The following is a 19,446-nucleotide window of genomic DNA, read 5'->3' as shown; positions in this document are numbered from 1 at the left end:
ACCATCCCCTCTTCTTTCTTCTCCTCAGCCTACTCAATGTGAAATTGACCAAGATGAAGACCTTTATGATGTTCCACTTCCGTTTAAGGAATACTAAATATATTTTCACTTCCTTATGATTTTGTTAATAGCATTTTGTTTTCTCTAGCTTACTTTATTATTAGAATATAGTATACAATACATACAATATAGAAAATATGTGTTAATTGCTTATGTTATTGGTAAAGCTCCCAGTCAACACTAAGCTATTAATAGTTAAGGTTTTGTAGAGTCAAAATTATACACAAATTTTCAACTGCATGGGGGGTTAGTGCCCATAACTCCATTGTTGTTCAAGGGTCAACTAAAAATCCCTACTTATTGGTAATTACTTTAAGTGTAAATAGATTCAATTCTCCAATAAAAAGATTGGCAGAATGGATAAAAACATATGACCAACTATACATTGTCTAGTTGGGCACAGTGGCTCATGCCTGTAATCCTAGCAATTTGGGAGGCTGAGGAGGGTGGATCACCTGAGGTCAGGGGTTCAAGACAAGCCTAGTCAACATGGTGAAACCCGGTTCTACTATAAAGAAACTAGCTTGGCATGGTGGCACATGCCTGTAATCCCAGCTACTTGAGAGGGTTAGGCACAAGAATCACTTGAACCTGGGAGGTGAAGACTGCAGTGAGCCGAGATCACATCACTGCAATCCAGCCTAGGTGACAGAGCGAGACTCCATCTAAAAAGAAAACCAAAAAACACAAAACTATACCTTGTCTATAAGAGACTCCATTTAAATCCAAAGATATAGATTGAAAGTGGAAAGATGGAAAAAGATATTCCATGCAACTGTTACCCAAAAGAGAGCAAGGGTGGCTATATTAATTAGGCCAAATAGATTTTAAATTAAAACACATTACAAGAGACAAAGAAGGACATTATATACTAATGAAAATTTCAATACAGCAAGAAGACATAATATTTATAAGTATTTACACACATTACAGCAGACCATCAAAATATATAAATCAAAAACTGATAGAATTGAAGGGAGGAATAGTTGTACAATACTAGTTGGAGACATCAATACCCATTGTCAATAATGGAGAGAAAAACCACACCAAAGGCAAGTAAGGACATAGGGCTTAAACCACAATGAACCTACTAGATCTAACAGATGTAAGCAACAACAGGAGCATATAAAATTGTCTCAAGTGCAGCTGGGACATTTTCCAGTGTAAACCAACATGTTAGGCCACTAATTAAATTTCAACAGATCAGAAAACATTGTTATCATGCAAAGTATCTTCTGTGAGCACAATAGGGTGAAGTTATACATCAATAACAACAGAAAAACTGGAAAATTCACAAATTTATAGAAATTAAACACCACACTCTAAAGTAATCAATGTATCAAGAAAGAAATTACAAGGGAAATTAGAAAACACTTAGAGAAGAATCAAAACAAAATACAACATACCAAAACTTATAAGACATAGTGAAACAGCTGTCCCCAACGTCTTTGACTGGTTTTATGGAAGACAATTTTTCCATGGAATGGGGGTGAGGGGGATGGTTTTGGGATGATTCAAGCACATTACATTTATTTTGTACTTTATTTCTATTAATATTGCATTGTAATACATAATGAAATAATTATACAGCTCACCATAATGTAGAACTAGTGGGAGCCCTGAACTTGTTTTCCTGCAAGTAGGTGGTCCCATGAGGGGGTGATGGAAGACAGTGACAGACCATCAAGCTTAAATTCTCATAAGGAGCTTGTGACCTCGATCCCTTGTATGCAGTTCAAAATAGGGTTCACACTCCTATGAGAATCTGATTCTACCACTGATCTGACAGGAGGCAGAGCTCAGGCAGTAATGCTAGTGATGGGGAGCAGCTGTAAATACAGATGAAGCTTTGCTCGCTCAACTGCTGCTCACCTGGCCCAGTGTTGGGTACACGTATATTTACAATTGTTGCATCCTCTTGCTGAATTGACCCTTTTATCATCATATAATGACCTTCTTTGTCTCTTTTTATAGTTTTTATCTAGAAATCTATTTTGTCTGATATACGTATAGCTACTCCTGCCCTTTTTTTGTGTTTCCATTTGCATGGAATATCTTTATCCCTTTATTTTCAGTCTATGTGTATCTTTATAGGCTAAGTGTTTTTCTTGTAGGCAATATAATCTTGGGTCTTATTTTTAATCCATTCATTCAGCCAATCCGTGTCTTCTGAAAGAAGAGATTAATCCGTTAACTTTCAATGTTGTTATTGGTAAGTAAGGACTTACTCCTACCACTTTGTTATTTGTTTTCTGGGTGTTTCGTGGTCTTTTCTTCCCTTTTCCTTTCCTTCCTATCTTCCTTTTTGTGAAGGTGATTTTCTCTAGCAGTATGTTTTAACTTCTTGCTTTTTATTTTTTTGTCTGTTGTATGTTTTTTGACTTGGGGTTATCATGAGGCTTGCAAATAACATCTTATGACCCATTATTTTAAACTGATGACAACATAACCCTGATTGCCAAAACAAACAAATGGACTAACAAACAAAAAAAGAGATAACTAACAAACACTCTAACTTTATCTCTCCTGGTTTTGAACTGTTTCTTGTTTCTATTTATATCTTATTATATTGTCTAGGTCTTCAAATTTTTGTAATTATTATATTTGATGGGTTCATCTTTTAGTCTTTCTAATCGAGATATTAGTAGTTTACACACCACAGTTACAGAGTTATAATCTGTGTTTCTCTGTGTACCTACTATTACCGCTGAGTCTTGTACCTTCAGGTGATTTCTTATTGCTTCTTAATGTCCTCTTCTTTTAGACTGAAGAACTCTCTTTACCATCTTGTAGGACAGTTCTGGTGCTGATGAAACTCCTCAGCTTTTGCTTGTCTCAGAAAATCTTTATTTCTCCTTCATGTTTGAATGTTTGAAGGATATTTTTACTAGATTCCAGGATAAAGGGTTGTTTGTTTGTTTTCCTTCAGCACTTTAAATATGTCATCCACTCTTTCCTGATCTGTAAAGTTTCCACTGAGAAGTCTTCTGCCAGACATATTGGAGCACCTTTGTATGTTATTTATTTTCTCTTGCTGCTTTTAGAATCTGTTCTTTATCCTCAACCTTTGGGAGTTGGATTACTAAATGCCTTGTGATATTCTTATTTGGGTTAAACCTGCTTGGTGTTCTATAATCTTTTTGTACTTGAACATTGATATCTTTCTCTAGGTTTGGAAAGTTCTCCATTATTATTTGTTTGAATAAACTTTCTACCCCGATCTCTCTCTCTACTGCCTCTTTAAGGCCAATAATTCTTTGATTTTCCCTTTTTTGGCTATTTTCTAGATCCTGTAGGTGTGCTTCATTAAAAATTTCCTTTTTTATCCTCTGACTGTGTATATTTTCAAATAGCCTGTCTTCAAGCTCATTCTTTCTTCTGCTTGATCAATTCTGCTGTTGAGAGACTCTGATGCATTCTTTGTATGTCAATTGTATTTTTCAGCTTCAGAATTTCCATTTTCAATCTTTTTGTTAAATTCATCTCACAGGATTTTGAATTTCTTCTCTGTCTTGTCTTGAATTCCATTGAGCTTCCTCAAAACAGCTATTTTGAAGTCTCTGTCTGAAAGGTCACAGATTGGTCACAGTTACCTTATTTAGTTTGTTTGGTGAGGTCATGTTTCCTGGATGGTCTTGACGCTTGTGGATGTTCATCGATGTTTGGGCACTGAAGAGTTAGGTATTATTATAGTCTTCACAGTCTGGGCTTGTTTATATTCATCCTTCTTGGGTAGTTTTCCAGGTATTCAAAGGGAATTCAGTGTTGTGATCTAAATCTTTGGTTACTGCAATTGTATGTGCATTAGGGGTCACCCCTAGCCTAGTAATGCTGTGACTCTTACAGGTTCATAGAGGCATTGTGTTGTTGGTCTTGAGTAAGATATCAGAGAATTCCCTGGATTACCAGGCAGAGATTCTTGTTCTCTTCCCTTACTTTCCCTCAAACAAATGGAATCTCTCTCTCTGAGCTGAACTGCCTGGATCTGGGGGAGGGGTAACATAAGCACCCCTGTGGCCACCACCACTGGGACTATGCTGAGTCTTACCTGAAGCTAGCACAGTACTGGGTCTTGCCCAAGGTCTGCAGGTGCCATTGCCTGGCTGACACTAATGCTCACTCAAGGTCCAAGGGCTCTTCAGTAAGCAGATGGTGAATCCAGCCAGGCTTGTTTCCCTCCTTTCAGGGGTGCAACTTTTCCACTGGCCCATGGTAGGTCCAGAAATGCTGTCTGGGAGCCAAGGCCTGTAGTTGGAAACCTTAGGGATCGACTTGGGACTTTATTCTAGTTCAGCTACATTGGCACCCAAGCCCCAAGAAAAACTTCTTCCCATTCTTCTCCCTTCTTTCCTTATGTGGAAGGATTCTCTTCCCATGGACCCCACCACTCTAGGCCTGTGACAAGTATTGCCTGACTACTACTGATGTTCACTGAAGGCCCTAGGGCTCTTCAGTCAACTTGTGGTAAATGATTCCAGGCCTGGTTATGTCTCTTCATGGCAGCAGGGGGCTCTGGTGCAGGGCAGATGCAGAAATGTGCCACAGGAGTCTGTGGCCCACTATGGCCTATCCCACTGTGGCCGAGCTGGTGTCCTAGCTGCAAGACAAAGTTTCTTTTACTCTTCCCTCTCCTTTCCTCAAGCAGAAGAAATCTCTTCCCATGGCCCCACCACTGGGAATGCGCTGGGTCACACCTGAAGCCAGCATGGCCCTGGCTCTCACCCAAGGCCTGTGGTGAGTACTGCCTTGGTACCACTGATGTTTATTCAAGGTCCAGTGGCCCTTTAGTCAGGTGATGAATCCCACCAGGACTGGGTCCTTCCCTTCAAGGCAGTGGGATTCCTTCTGGCAGAGTATGTCTAAAAATATCCAGGAACTAGGGCCTGGATGGGGGCCTTAGAACTCTGCCTGGTGCCCTATTTTGCCTTAGGATACTTTGCCTAAGCTGGTATCCAAATTACAAGACAACTTGGATATCCTCTTTACTCTTTCCTCTCCTCAAGCTGAAGGAAGGAGTCTCTCCTGGACCTGTGAACTGCCCTGCCTTGGGATGGGGAAGGGGTGATGCAAACACTCCCCGCTTGGCCACCCTGGCTGGTGTCATGTGCACTCCAAGTCCACTGGCTCCTAGCCCAACACAGTGCCAAGACCTCCCTAGGAATTGCAGGCCTCGTGGCCTAGCTATCTTTCAAGTTTATATGGGAATCTAGGGTATTCAGCCCATGGTTGTGGGGCTAGCTGGAACTCAGGTTCTGACTGCTGGGATGGACACCTCCCCTCTAGCTAGGGCTGATCTAAATGTTCCCTTTGTGGGCACCAACTGAATTCCACCCCATGTTTCTTTCCACTGTGACAAGGCAGCACTGAGTTCCAATGCAAAGCCCACAGTCACTGCATTCTCTCTCCTCCAAGCACACACTCTCTCTATGCCATGTGGCTGCTGCTGATGGATGTGAGAAAGGTGGTGTTAGCAATTCAAGACTGTCTTTCCTACCCTCTTCACTGCCTCTTTCCTTGATGTGATGTTAAAACCAGGGACTGTAATCGCTCACCTGATTTTTGATTCTTATGAAGGTGCTTTCTTGTACAGACAGTTGTTCAATTTGGTGCTCCTGTTGGGGGAACTACTGCTGGAGTGTTCTATTTGGCCATCTTGTTCCACCCTTGAACCCAAATATATTTCTGATATTGTCTCATGATAAGTCCTGAGGCACCAATCATTAAAAAAAAATATCCTTTTGTTCTGTTTTTCAAATTGAAAAAATATCTACTGGTCTACTTTTAAGTTCATTGACTCTTAGGTCATTTTCAATCTACTCTTAATTCTATCCAGATCATTGTCTTAAGTACAGAATAAAATTCTAGACTGTGTATTCCTTTATGTGGTTTCTTCTTGTCAATTTGTTTCCATGACCCATGCTATACATGGTTCCAGTAATAATGGGGGGTATGTTTATTAATAAACATTTCTTTCAAATGTGACTATTTGTCTTTAATTATAATGATAAACCAATAATATAATAGCTATCCTATATTAGTAATGGTTAGTATCTCCTCTCATCTTCCAAACTATACTCTCCACATCCCCAATTCCCAGATATTATGAACCAAAAGAAAACGTTTTCTTTTATGACATATAAGTTAACATTCTTTTGAGGGAAAATTAAATCCAGTTTTATCATATTTTCTAATCCTAGATAGCAACTTCAATTACCTCAAGTTAAAGATCCACTTCTATTTTTAATTTAAAATTCATCACAGTAGATTGCTTCTATTTGTTATTGAAAATTATGAGTTATTTCAGGAACAGAAGAAATGGTTTTATATAAATTTGTTCCTATTAATAATTTCCCTCGCCGTACAACATACAAAAATTGAATATGATAAAACTTAAGACCTCAATGTATTCCCAAATTGACAAAAGTTGAAATATATCCTTCTGGGATTGCTAATAATTTTCTTCTGTAACAAACAAAAGCAAGCATAACAAAAATAACAGAATTTGTTTTAGTGGAACACTACATGCACATTGCTTAGGATTTATCTGATGACATGTTTAGTCACTGTTTTATAAGCACTAAATAGCCTGATCCAAGTCACTTCTGAGTTGAAGGTTGGCCATGGTCTATTTTTAAAATTTGAGATCATTGTATAAGAGCTCTGTTGGCATGCCAAATGAGGTTTTCCAGCCCATTTCCACTGTATCAACTAATATCTTTCAATCGACAAATTGCACTTTGGCGTGAACACAAGGATGGATGTCTGCCATTTTTTTGGTCCCTTGTAAAATAGCTATGAACATATGGAGCGTGTTGTTCATTTTTAGAGCTTGAGGATGGCAGGTTTAATTGTACTAAATATGCAAAGAATGGATGGCAAGTTGAAGACCAAATAGGCTGAGCAGGAGATGTACAAGGTCATTTAGCAAGAACTATTTATGCCACATTAGGATTTCCTGACATCTCATATTTCAATTTCATCCCACAGGTTATCTTTTCCTTCCTATTGTTAACTTTGCCTAATTAGACCCTGTTAGCAAGAAAAAAGAGATTATATATATTTTTTTTTCTTGAGGGCTTCAGATGTAGAAACAATGCAGGAGTAGCAGTAGAGAGCCTGATTTGGAATGAACATGTGGCATATTTTCAAATCTGAAAGCTATCCAAAAATGCAATGGGATGCCTTGGAAGTTGTTAAGTACTATATCATAGAAGTGTTCAGGATGACACTGTCCCACTTGATTAGGCTGTTATATATAAAAAAGAAGCAAATGATGACAACTGGACTAGATGTGTGCTGAGGTTTTCCCTAGGGCATCCTTTAAGTTACATCTGCTCTACACAAAATACTATTTTCATGAACTCTTAAAATAAATAGTTTTAATTTACTTTCTTTTTATTGTGGACTTCCCACAATATTCTTCTTAGGACCACTATATTTGTGAAATTTCCTAAAAATGGAGTCTGCAAGAAAATATTCAACACAACAAAATGCATTGGGTAGGTCTTTTAAAATGTTCTGCATTGTGATACTCTGTAGTAGCTGAATATTTTGCTAATTAAACTGTAAACAATAACAACCTTTACAATCTTCCCAGCATGTTTCAGCAGTTCCACCATGTTTCTCAGGGCCTAGGATGTTTTATACTAGTCTGTCATTCTTGGTGTGAGTGCCTTTTATGGTCAGGCTTTCTGCTTCAGTGTCACAAGACCACTGTTAATATTCCAGATATCTCATTCTTTCTCTACAATATCCAAAGCTGGAAGAGTGAAAAGGAGCAAGACAAAGCTCTTTCTCCAATGCTATGTCTTTCATTAGGAAATTAAAAATTTCCCGGAAACAAACCATGGGAGTTACCCTGGCATATCTAATTCGTGAGAAGTAGGTCATACTGGTCCTCTTAGACCAAAAACTGGCAAAAAGAAAAAAAAAAAAGATTAGCATGATTAGTTTAGACTATTGTTTCTCAACTAAGAGTGTTACTGCCCCCTAAAAGATATTCATAAACCCAACAGCATTTTTTAAAAATTTTTATCACGTCTGGAACATAATGTTGAACATGAGTTGTGAGGGGCCAAGATTAATACGTATGATGCTATGATCAGAAACTCCTGCTCAATGAAGACTTTGAAGCTTCCTAAGTCTCATGAAGATCACTAGTCTGGGCAAAACTGATACTTTTCCTTGGATCCAGGCACATTGCTGCTGAACAAAATTGGATTTATGATGATAAGAAAAAGAGAAGGCTGTGTGGTAGGCAAGCAATTATATTTGCCACAGTTTTTATACTTCCTCTCTATGACTCTTTCTTTTATTTTTGTACAACTCTGAAACCACAAAGGGAATGCATATTTAAATTTCTAAATACCTTGTGGAAGATATTATATATCATTTTGAGTTGCTATTGTTTTTCACAATGCTCCATATTTCTGTCTCAATAAATATGGGTTGATGATGCTGACAATGGTATGTGTGAGGAGTTGTTGATTAGCCTGAAGAGAAACATAAGTATATGGGTGATTGTAATTGTCAAAGCATACTCACATATTTGAAGTTGGCTGTACCCAAAAGCCTGAACTCTGATTTTCTTTTTTTACTTTTATATTAATGGAACTTGAATGCTTTTCAAAACTAAAATCCTGATCAAAAAATAAGACTAAAGGTAATATTGTTCACTTTTATTAAAAACCTTTATAAGACTAAAATTGAATTTTGATATAAAATGAATTTAAGGGAGATTTTAATAATGTGTGGAAATTGATACCAGATAAATTTTAAGGATACATGAAGCAGTGATAGGAAATATGTTTTAATATTCAGATAAGTACTTAATAAAAGCCAGGATATATAAACAATTTTTACGGGCAGTATAAAAGAACTCTTGTTAGGAAAGAATCATGAAAACCTGCTGAAATATTGAACTCATTTGTTAAGGTATTTTAATTATTTCTGATAATTGTCTATTTGGTAAAATTATATTAGCAGTCTAACTAAACCCAAGAAGAACCGTCATGTCGACTCCCTCACTTCCATGATTACTACTCCCTGTTGCATGGAATAAAAACACCTATGATTACTCATCTGAGCCCCATCCCAATTGTCTATGCTCCCAGACTATCCTGCCCCATGACCTACCTTGTGATACACTTAGTAGACAAATCTTCAATCAATGCATGATGAAAAACCTTCCTGATATTAATATATTTAATATTTTACCTAACTCTTTCAGTTTCCTGTATTTATGTAGTTTCATTAATTACATTTTGTAACTGTGCTCACCTAGCCTAGTTATGCATAATTAGTTGCTTAAGAAATGCTTTTTCAATATGATAGTAATAAATTACTTTTTCAAATAATAATAACTATTCTCAAGTAACCTGAAAAAGTTACTACCTAATAAAAAAAAAACTACTCCATCTTATATGTGGAATCAAGATTGCTTTAAAATAACTTGGAAGGAAGTAAGATTAAATCTATATAGATCTGATACTTATTTCTGCCAAGTTTTAATATGTATGCGCATTCACTTGCTCTTAAACTTTTATATTAGACAAGAAAAAATAATTTTTAAACTCAAGAAATTAGCCCAGAGTCAGAATATGAATATCATTGTCAACTGAATTTGCAACACAGTCTAAGAGTCATCTTTATTACTGGATTTATATTTGTCAAGAATAAAGGTAGAATTTTAGAAACATAATACTTAGCCTATGGCATTACATTCTTTATAGGGAATCATGTACTCCTCTATTCCCTGCAGTCGTTTTCACACAATTTTACTCTCTAATGTTAGCATAGAAAGCATGTATGTAAAATAATTTTATTTCATGTACAAACACAAAAAGAGGGTTGCCAAAAAAATAAGTTGGAAATGTTTATAAGTGCATTAAACAAAGGACAGTAGTTTTGCTGACAATGTAAATTTTTAGAAAATCAGATAAGACTCTGTAGAGTAAATTAACTCTAGATGTTTGTGACCTGAGGCTTCTTTAATTAAAGATGTGTTGATATATGGCTATCAAAAGATTTATGTTGCACTTTAATTCTTATATGTGAAAATGTACTTGCCAGATAAATTCATTTTTGAAATGCTGAAGTTTATGGAAAGAGTCCTTTCAGTTGACAAAATACTTCAGAAGGGCATGGAAAATTTCACCAAGAAAGTTGAGGCAACACTGAAGCTGGTCAAAGGGAATGACTAACAACTACATTTTCTCTAAGAATTATGGCTCTTTTATCTATTAGCTTAACTGATTTAACCATAACCCTTTCCCCCTCCAAATTTTTTTCTAGGAGAAATAGCCTCAAATTCATGTTCATTGGAGTCACTTTCAAATACTATATTATCTTTCCCAGAATTACTGTGTGAATACATGATTCTCTCCTGTACTCAAAGTCAAAAAAATTCATTGAATGATTTATTTATTAAACGTACTTAGTAAATTTTTTTTGTACATTTACTCTGTGATAGGTACAGGACATATAATATTGAACAAAACAAACACTGTTCTTACCCTAGTGGAGTTTGTGTATTTTATATCTAAGAAAAGTTAGTATCAATTGATAAGGTGAATATATCTGAATACTGAAAAGATCACGTTCCTTGAAAAATAGAGAATTAATTGTAAAGAAGCCAAAGTGGATAAAGTGAAGTAAATTATGAAGATATTTTAATAATTTAAAATATCTGAAGATGGAGAAACAAGAAAGTGAAGTCTGGATGATAAATCCTACAGGATTTCATGATGCCTTTAATCTCCAAGGAAGGGAAGAGGAGGTGTTAAATATGATGGTACATTTCAGAGACAACTGGTGGTCTCTCCAATTACCATTTTTCCTCTTTTCAACAGTAATAAAAATGTTGGTGAACATCATGGAATCCTTCCAATTTCTTGCTCCACGTAAGCCCAACTAGAAGACTCAAGTTATCATCAGACTCTCCTTCATTCATTTATGGAGTCATTTTATGTGTCAGGCATTTTATAAAGGCACAAGAGAAGATATAAGGCAGGAATAAAAGCTTCTCAGAAAAATACCTCATATGTGCATGGAATCCCTCTTGCTGCTTCCCTGCACTTGGATTGTATCTCAATTTCTCCATGATAATGTCCATGACTATGTCCTAGAATATAGACATTTGGTATCCCAGCTAAAGACTACATTTTCCAGCCTCATTTGAAGCTGTATTTAGCTATGTGACTAGGTTTTGACAAAAAAAAAAAAAATTGAACATCTGATGTATACACGTTGGGTCATGTTTGTAAAACAGAAGAGTATGTCCTGTAAACGTTCCTTCCTCCTTTCCCTTACTAATCAGTGGAATGGGGATGTGATGGTGGGAGCTGGAGTAGCCATTCTGCATCCAGAGAAGGAAGTCCTGAGGATGGCAGAGTAATGGGCCATTGGTACCCTGAAACCATCATATCATCTGTGGACTGCTGAGAAGGATAAACGTCTACTTTGAAGACACTTATTATATCTGTTTGAAGGCATTTATTATATCTGTTTCTTTTTAACAGTAACTTTGTACAATTAGCTTTCTTTTTATTTTGGTTTCCTGGCTAAGTGTTTCAGAATACACTTTTCTGTACCTATTTTCTTCAGTGCTAATGCCTCTCTTGAGAGGAACTTAATTTTGTCCAGCCTCTAAATAAAAATTGTGCATTTCAAAAATTTTAACATATGGTTGCAGACTTTGAAGGGAAGAACACAAGGACTTTAGGAAGATTACAATTCATTAGTTGATGAACTGGATTATGCAAAGTAAAAGGACAGGATAGTAGACCCCAACCCCTCTGGAAAAAAAAAATATCAGAAACCTTGCTGGTTATCCACCAATGCAGTATAGATTTTTATGAGAGGAGGTGTAGCATTTGCACAGTATATTAAGGGACAAACTTTTATCAATAAAATTTTTGTGACAATTTTTTCAAGATAGTCTTGAAAAAGGTTATGACCTGCTGTCATAATGCCAGTGGGTATTAAGGCAGCAATAAAATCTATGAATACTTTGAGAAGCATACTAATCTCATTTTTTCTTGCAGTTACTCAAGATTTCAAGCAGCTATAGCTACTAAAAGAATGATCCCTCAGCTGTGACAATGCTTACAATTTTTTCATCTCAATTAAATTATAAATAATTTGTGGGTAAAGGTTATACCATATGTTTACATATATATATACATGTTTCTGGAATTCAGAATATAGTGTTAATCTCAAAATAGATATCCAATACCTTCTCTTAAAAATTAACTTGATGCATTCACAGGGATATTGAAATGTCATCTAGTCAATATCTTGTCAACCACCAGTAATTTAGTATAGTTGACCAATACACTGTTGGTGAAAAGCATGGAATCCCTCATATTTCTTGCCCACTTAAGCCCACCTTAAGAATCACATTGTCATCAAACTCTCCTTCATGCTTTTATGGAGTCCTTTTATGTGTCAGTTATTTTATAAAGGCACAGGAGAAGATATAAGGCAGGAATAAAAGATTCTTAGCAAAGTACCTCATATCAGCATGGAGTTCCTCTTGCTGCTTTCCTTGCACTCTTGGCTTGCATCTCAATTTCTCCATGATTATATCCTGACCCATGATGTCAATTTCTAAGCAGTTTGTTTTGACCTCCAAATATTTATCAAAACATCCTCTAAGCAGTATTCTAAGTGACACACTGTCAGAATTTATGCAAATTACATTCACTAGATACCTTTACTTGCTTCACTTTTATTTGGACATATTCTCAATGTTATGTACATGTGAAATAATTTACTAATAGTACGTATGTTGGTTGGACCTTTTTTTTTTCCCCTCATTTGGCTTCCCTCTACTTTGCCTCACTTTTTAATTTGACTTCTGTGAAGTTAAGCAATCCAGAATTTACACTCTTGCTCAGGCTTCCCACATTTACTACAAAGTTACCATTTGGTTGTAACACAAAATCCAATCCTATTCTTTCTCCTTCCTTCTTTTGTTCCTTCATTTCTTTCTTCCCTTCTTTTCTCTCTCTCCCTCTCTCTGTGTGTGTCTCAGATTCTATAGAATTGATGATATTCTTTCCAAGCTAATAAAAAAGGCCTGTATAACATTATTAGCAAATTAGAGTATGCAAATTAAATCCATAAGGAGATACCACTACGCACTTACTAGAATGTTTAAAATGAAAAGACAGACAATATCACGTACTGACAATGGCATGGAACAACTGGGAACTCATATACAGCAAATATGAATACAAACTGATAAAGCCACTCTGTAAAACAATTTGGCAGTTTATTTCTTACAGTTCTGGGGGGTGTAAGTCTGAGGTCAAGGCATTGGCAGATCTGGTGTCCAGTAAGAATGCTCTTCCTGGTTTGCATATGGCTACCTTCTCCCTGTATCCTCACATGGTGGAGAGGAGAGAGAGAAAAAGAGGGAGCAAGCTCTCGTGTGTCTCTTCTTATAAGGGCACTAATCCCATTAGGAGGGTTCTACCCTCATGATGTACTTACTTCCCAAAGGTCTCACCTCCAAATACCATCACATTAGGGATTAGGCTTCAATTTTACTATTATTATTATTTATTCTTTTGCAGGGGGACACAATTCAGTCCATAGCACTCCACCCCAGTCCTCTGTAATTCCTGTCCTTCTCAGATATAAAAAACACACACATTTCGTCCCCAAATTTCACAAATCTTAACTCGTTCCAGCATCAATCCTAATGTCTAAAGTCCAAAGTCTCATTTAAATATCATCTAAATCAGATATGGGTGAGACTCAAAGTAAAAGTCATTCTGAGTCAGAACTCCCCTCCACCTGTGAACCTGTGAAACAAAACAAGTTATGTGCTTCCGAAACGTAATGATGGGAGAGGCATAGGACAGACATTCCCACTACAAAGGGGAAAAAATAGGAGACTAGGGAAGTTAATAGGCCCCAAGCAAATCCAAAACATAGTACATCAGATCCCATGAGACTTTAAGGCTCAAGAACAATCCTCTTTGTCTCTCAATGCTTGGTCTTATGGGCCCACTGGTGTGGCATGGCTATGTCACTCCCTTTGCTCTGTAGGGCAGCCCTGCAGTAGCTCTTTCTATGTCCCAACCCTGCCCTCTTGACACCCAGGTGGTGTCCCTGATGATCTCCAAGTCACCTTTGAAGTCCTTTTTACATTTTCTTCAATGATAGCATACATTTACAGTTTTCCTTCATTTGGTCTCACTTTCTCTGTTTCCTTTAGTCCCATCTGGTAGTTTTTCTGGTGGCTTATTTCCTCTCTATCCTTGGCTTCTGGTGAGATGGCCAATTAAGTCTATGGGTCACACCCACACTAACCTCCTTAACAAAGGTTGGTTTGCCATACCCTTAGTTTTCTCTTCTGAATATACTCTCTCACTTTTTTGTAATATAGACAGGCAGATTTAGAATCTTTAAGTTCTAATTTATTTTTGCCTAACAATTCCATCTTCAATTCATTTCTTCCCTTTTTCATTTTACTATATGCAGTCAGAAAAAACCAAGGTGCCGCTTCAACACTTTAATTAGATATCTCCTCAATTAAACACCCAACTTCATCCCTCACAAGTTGTACCTACTACAGAACACTAGAACACAAACACAATTTAGCCAAGTTCTTTGCTACTTTACAACATTGCCTCTCCTCAAGTTTTTAATAACATGTTCTTCATTTCTGTTTGAGACTTCATCAGAATGGCTTCTGACAACCATATTTCAATCAACTTTCTATACATAATTATTTATGTATTCTCTAAGATGACAGAGGCTTTCTCTACAGCTTTCTTCTTTTTACCTTGAGCCAATACCGGAATTGCTTTTAAAATTCCCTTCACAGGAATATTGGCTTTTTCTAGCACATACCTCAAAACTTTTCTAACCGATACCCATTACCCAATTCCAAAGCTGCTTCCACAGTTTTACATATTTATTACACTATTTCTCCACCTCTCTGTACCAATTACTGTCTTAATCAGCTCAGGCTGCTGTCACAAAATACTATATACTGGGTGGCTTAAACAATAAACATTTATTTCTCACAGTTCTGGAGGCTGTATGTCTGAGATTAAGGTGCTCATAGATACGGAGACTGGGTTAGGGCCCTCTTTCTGGTTTGCAGGCAACTGTCTTCTTATTTTATCTTTCCATGGCATAGGACAAAGGGACACAGAGAGAGAAAGAGAGAGAGAGAGAGAGGGCAAGGAGACAAACTTTCTTATATCTCTTATCATAAGGGACTCCACTTCATGACGTAATTACCTCCTAAATGCTCCATCTGGAAATACTATCACATTGAAGGTTAGGGCGTCAACATATGAATTCTGTGGGAACACAAACATTCAGCCCGAAGCAAATCTCAAAGGTATCATGTGCAAGCCTGAGGCTACACACCATATGATTCTATTTGTATGACCTTCTGGAAAAGGGAAAAGTATACAGGCAAAAATCAAATCACTGGCTGCCTGGACTAAGCTTGGGTAGGAGGTTGACTGTAAAGGGATAGAAGAAACTTGTTTGAATTGATGACAGTGTTCTGTTTCTTTACTATGATAGTGATTACATTTGTCCAAACTCATCACACTGTAAAATTTAAAAGGGTGAACTTTACTGTATATAAATGATTCTTCAATTTTGTACTTAAAAATTGGAATCAGAGGTATTTTTTACTTAAAAATAAAAACACACAGAAGCCATATTTGCTATGAGTTCCAGTTCTGTGAAGACAGGGCTATGAAAATTCGAAAGTAAAAGGGAGAAAAAGACTGCTCTTTGCTTAATAATAATTTTAGGCAAATTTTTGAAAGAGCCACAGTTCCGCAGTTATCTTTGTCTGTTTCTCTCTATATCCTGCTATTCCTCTCTCTATGTTACAGAAAACTTGAAATAGCTTTGATGTATTCAGATCCAAAATGTGCCTTCTATATATGTCTACATTTTTTTGTTCTACAATGCTTCATTCTTCACAATTGTCTTTCTCACCCTCTCCTCAAATGCAAATTTCTATCTGTCAGTATACTTTTTCTTAGTAATGTATTTTGGAAAACTGATTTTGCTGGGGTAATATAAATATATGAAGGCATGGAACACGGAAAGGTACGTTGAGAAAGAGAATATACCTCCCTTAACTACTGTATCACCAAAGCAAGCCAAAGTTTTTGATTATATATGTAAAACATTGAATTATAAAGAATGAATTTTATATATATGATCTAATGTTTCCTATATGTTACACTTAATATATATTAAAATTGGCAGTGAAGGAGTAATCCCAGCTCTTTGGGAGCCCGAGGCAGGTGGATCACGAGGTCAGGAGATCGATACCATCCTGGCCAACATGGTGAAACCCCGTCTCTACTAAAAATACAAAAATTAGCCAGGCGTGGTGGCGGGCACCTGTAATCCCAGCTACTTGGGAGGCTGAGGCAGGAGAATTGCTGGAACCTGGGAGGCGGAGCTTGCAGTGAGCTGAGATTGTGCCACTGCACTCCAGCCTGGCGACAGAGCAAGACTCCGTCTGAAAAAAAAAAAAGGAAAGAAAAGCATGAGCAGAATACCATAGCATAACAAGAGACTCCAGCTGTTGAGTCAGCTCTTCTAATTTGCTTTTTTTTAGCCCCTTCTTTCCCTTTCCTTTAAAGTACCCAGAACCTCTTAAAGTTCCAAGTTGCATTTTTCTGACAGCCAACGTGCCCATTGCTTTCAGTTGCCTCCACACAAGCATTTTCTCCTTCCTTGCTAATGAAGGCAGATTCCATTCACTCCTTGGGTATTCAGGTACTTAAGAGGAAGCTGAACCTACTCGGCCTCTGGCCAGGAAACAGGTGTTGCCATTTTATTTCCCTTGCCAGTAAATGACTTAATGGAGGAGAAGATGGATTGAGACTTCTGGGAAAATTTTTTCTCACACTTTAAAAGGAATGTGAGTAAGGCATCATAGATTGAGTTGTGCCCCCAGCCCCAAAATCGTACATTGAAGCCCTAATCTCCAGCATGACTATATTTGGAGATATGATCTATAAAGAAGTAATAAGGAGTAAATGAGGTCATAGGGGTAGGGCCCCAATCCAATAGAACTGATGTCCTTATAGGAAGAGGAAGCAACACCAGGGCTAGCTCTCTTGCCATGCTAACACAGAGGAAAGACCCAGTGAGAACACAATAAGAAGGTGACTGTCTACAAGTCAGGAAAGAGAGGCCTTAACAGAAACCAAATTTGCTGCTACTTTAATCATGGACTTCTATCCTTCAGGATTGGGGGAAATTAAATGTTTTAGCCACCCAGACTGGAGTATTTTGTTATGGTAGCCTGAGCAGACTAATACATAAGGGAAACACCCACTATCCCTTTCTCAGCTTTGGACTTGGCTATGTGAAAATGTGACGATTGACGCTTCTGTGCTTCTTTTGAGTTCATGAAGGAAAAAGCCTGAGAGCAAAAGCCAACAGGCTGAGAATATTAATTAGAGAAAAAGAATTTCTGTCCTTCATGATTTTACTAAACTCTTATATAAACCAAACCTCCATCTCCTCACTCACCCTGTCACTTCTTAGTCAGATTCCTACCTGCTCTTATCCCACCAACAGAGCTCCAATGATGGTGGCAGTGATGCCTCCAACCACGGGTGGTTGTGGGAGTACAAAAGCCACAGGAACTTCTACATATACAAAGGCCTTTGGTCAAGAACTGCCTGAAAAATATTTTTTACCATTGGAAAACTCAATATTTAGCGGGAATCCTTCATGCTACATTGTTTGAAATAAGAGTCTTATCTTCTGTAGTACCTGTCCTTAATAGACTATAAATATCCATCTCAAAAATTTTTTATCTATTTTGAAATTTCATCTGGAAAAAATATTTAGGTTATCACTGTTTTTCATATATCCCAAGCCCTCTGGCAAGCCAGCTGGCTCTGGCCCAGCTTGTGACTTTTTTTTGGCAGAAAGGTTTTGTTCTTAAACATCTCAATGGGAGCTAAGCTACCAGAGCTCAATTCTGTTTTATGACCTTCTGTGACATCACTGAAGGCCACCTGTCCACTTCACAGTCCTTGTCGCTCAGTTCAGGATGTGAGCTGCTTCTTTCAGTGTAGGGTTATAAACAGTGGAGTACCCAGGAGCTACTGCAAACTTCTATTTGCCTCACATATGTGTCGTTTATTTTACTGCTTGGTGGCCTAGGCTCGTACCAATATAGGTTTGATTTTTTCCCAAGTCTTGTGAAAAGCCTTTCTTATATATTTTAATTCTAACAATTATCCTAAGGTAGGTATTGGCATCCCTTTTTCACAGAGACACAAGGTAACTTGCCTGGGGTGATCAAAATAGTAAGTGGAAAATAGAGCATATAAACTCAGATTATCCTGACACCAAAGCCCACGTTGTTAAAATACTTCAATCTACTGCCATTGTAAAATGTTAAGATGGAAGGAATGCTCAGATAGTATTAAATTTCTTCACTCTAGCATGAGGTAAAAAGTAAATTAAAGATAAAAGAGGAAGGAGTGATGAAGAGACACAAGCCTAAGGGATCAGAGTGAAGACCAGGATGATGCAATCTTTGGTGATTCTAAGTGCTGGATTTTGTATAGGTTCAGACATGAAGTGTGCTGGAACTTTAGAGATGTATTTGTTTACATATGTCCTGCATACCTGTATCTGCTCCTCATATAATTGCACCCTCTATCTCTCTCCAAAGTCCATGTGATTCTGGTAGGCCTGCACATTACATGACTCCATTCCCTTGACTAAGTGGTTTGTCTAGGAGTGGCTGTTACCTAAGTCAGGACAATCAAAGATCAATAAATCACTGAAGATGGTGAGAGGTCAGGCTTCTCCCTTCTCTAAGAGCATTAAGCAGAGATGACTTAAGACAGGATCAGTAGATAGCCATGTTTCCAACTACTTGGAATGAGCCAATATAGTAGTAGAGATTGGATGGGGAAGATGATAGAGGCAGAGATTGAGAAATAATCACAGTGGTGATTGAGTTCCTGGTTCCAATATCTGAAGTCCTGTTTTCTGTGGGAAGCCTTTTGATCACATGAAATGTTTCAGCACCCCTCCATTAAGTCTTGTTCACCCTTTTGGCATCTCTATCACTTGCAACCAAAAGAATACTGACAATAGTAGACTTCGGGGGCTGAGTAATGCAACTAACACTCTCACTTCAAACAGTAGTTTCCTAAGTGATATGGTAAATTTGCAAACTGGGCAAGTGACATATCTCAATTACGTGATATAATGTGTGTTTGCAAGCCTTCTGGAGCTTGTAGGCTGTGGGGCAATATTTGAAGTCAGCTATAATAGGGTTGGCAGCATCTTAGTTTCTGAGATTTACAGAATGATTCATTTGAGTTGAAACAGAAGTCTAGTGTCCTCAGAGCA

General features: G+C 37.4%; 1 protein-coding gene and 1 long non-coding RNA gene across 18 annotated transcripts in view; one reads left to right on the top strand and one right to left on the bottom strand.

The window, feature by feature from the left end:
- EPHA6 (EPH receptor A6) overlaps nt 1–19,446 on the bottom strand; it is a 946,939-nt gene that overhangs the window by 403,580 nt on the left and 523,913 nt on the right. The gene's annotated exons all lie outside the window — the stretch shown is intronic.
- LOC101929278 (uncharacterized) overlaps nt 1–19,446 on the top strand; it is a 114,015-nt gene that overhangs the window by 57,131 nt on the left and 37,438 nt on the right. The window contains exon 6 of one of the 6 annotated variants that reach the window (XR_924244.3): nt 2,216–2,273. The exons of the other annotated variants lie outside the window; for them this stretch is intronic. This is a non-coding gene — a long non-coding RNA (uncharacterized LOC101929278). Of the gene's footprint in view, nt 1–2,215; nt 2,274–19,446 lie in introns of those variants that run through there. 6 annotated transcript variants of the gene reach the window in all.

Source organism: Homo sapiens, chromosome 3, assembly GCF_000001405.40.
Source record: "Homo sapiens chromosome 3, GRCh38.p14 Primary Assembly".
NCBI lineage: Eukaryota > Metazoa > Chordata > Mammalia > Primates > Hominidae > Homo > Homo sapiens.
This window is presented reverse-complemented; position numbering and strand designations above follow the sequence as displayed.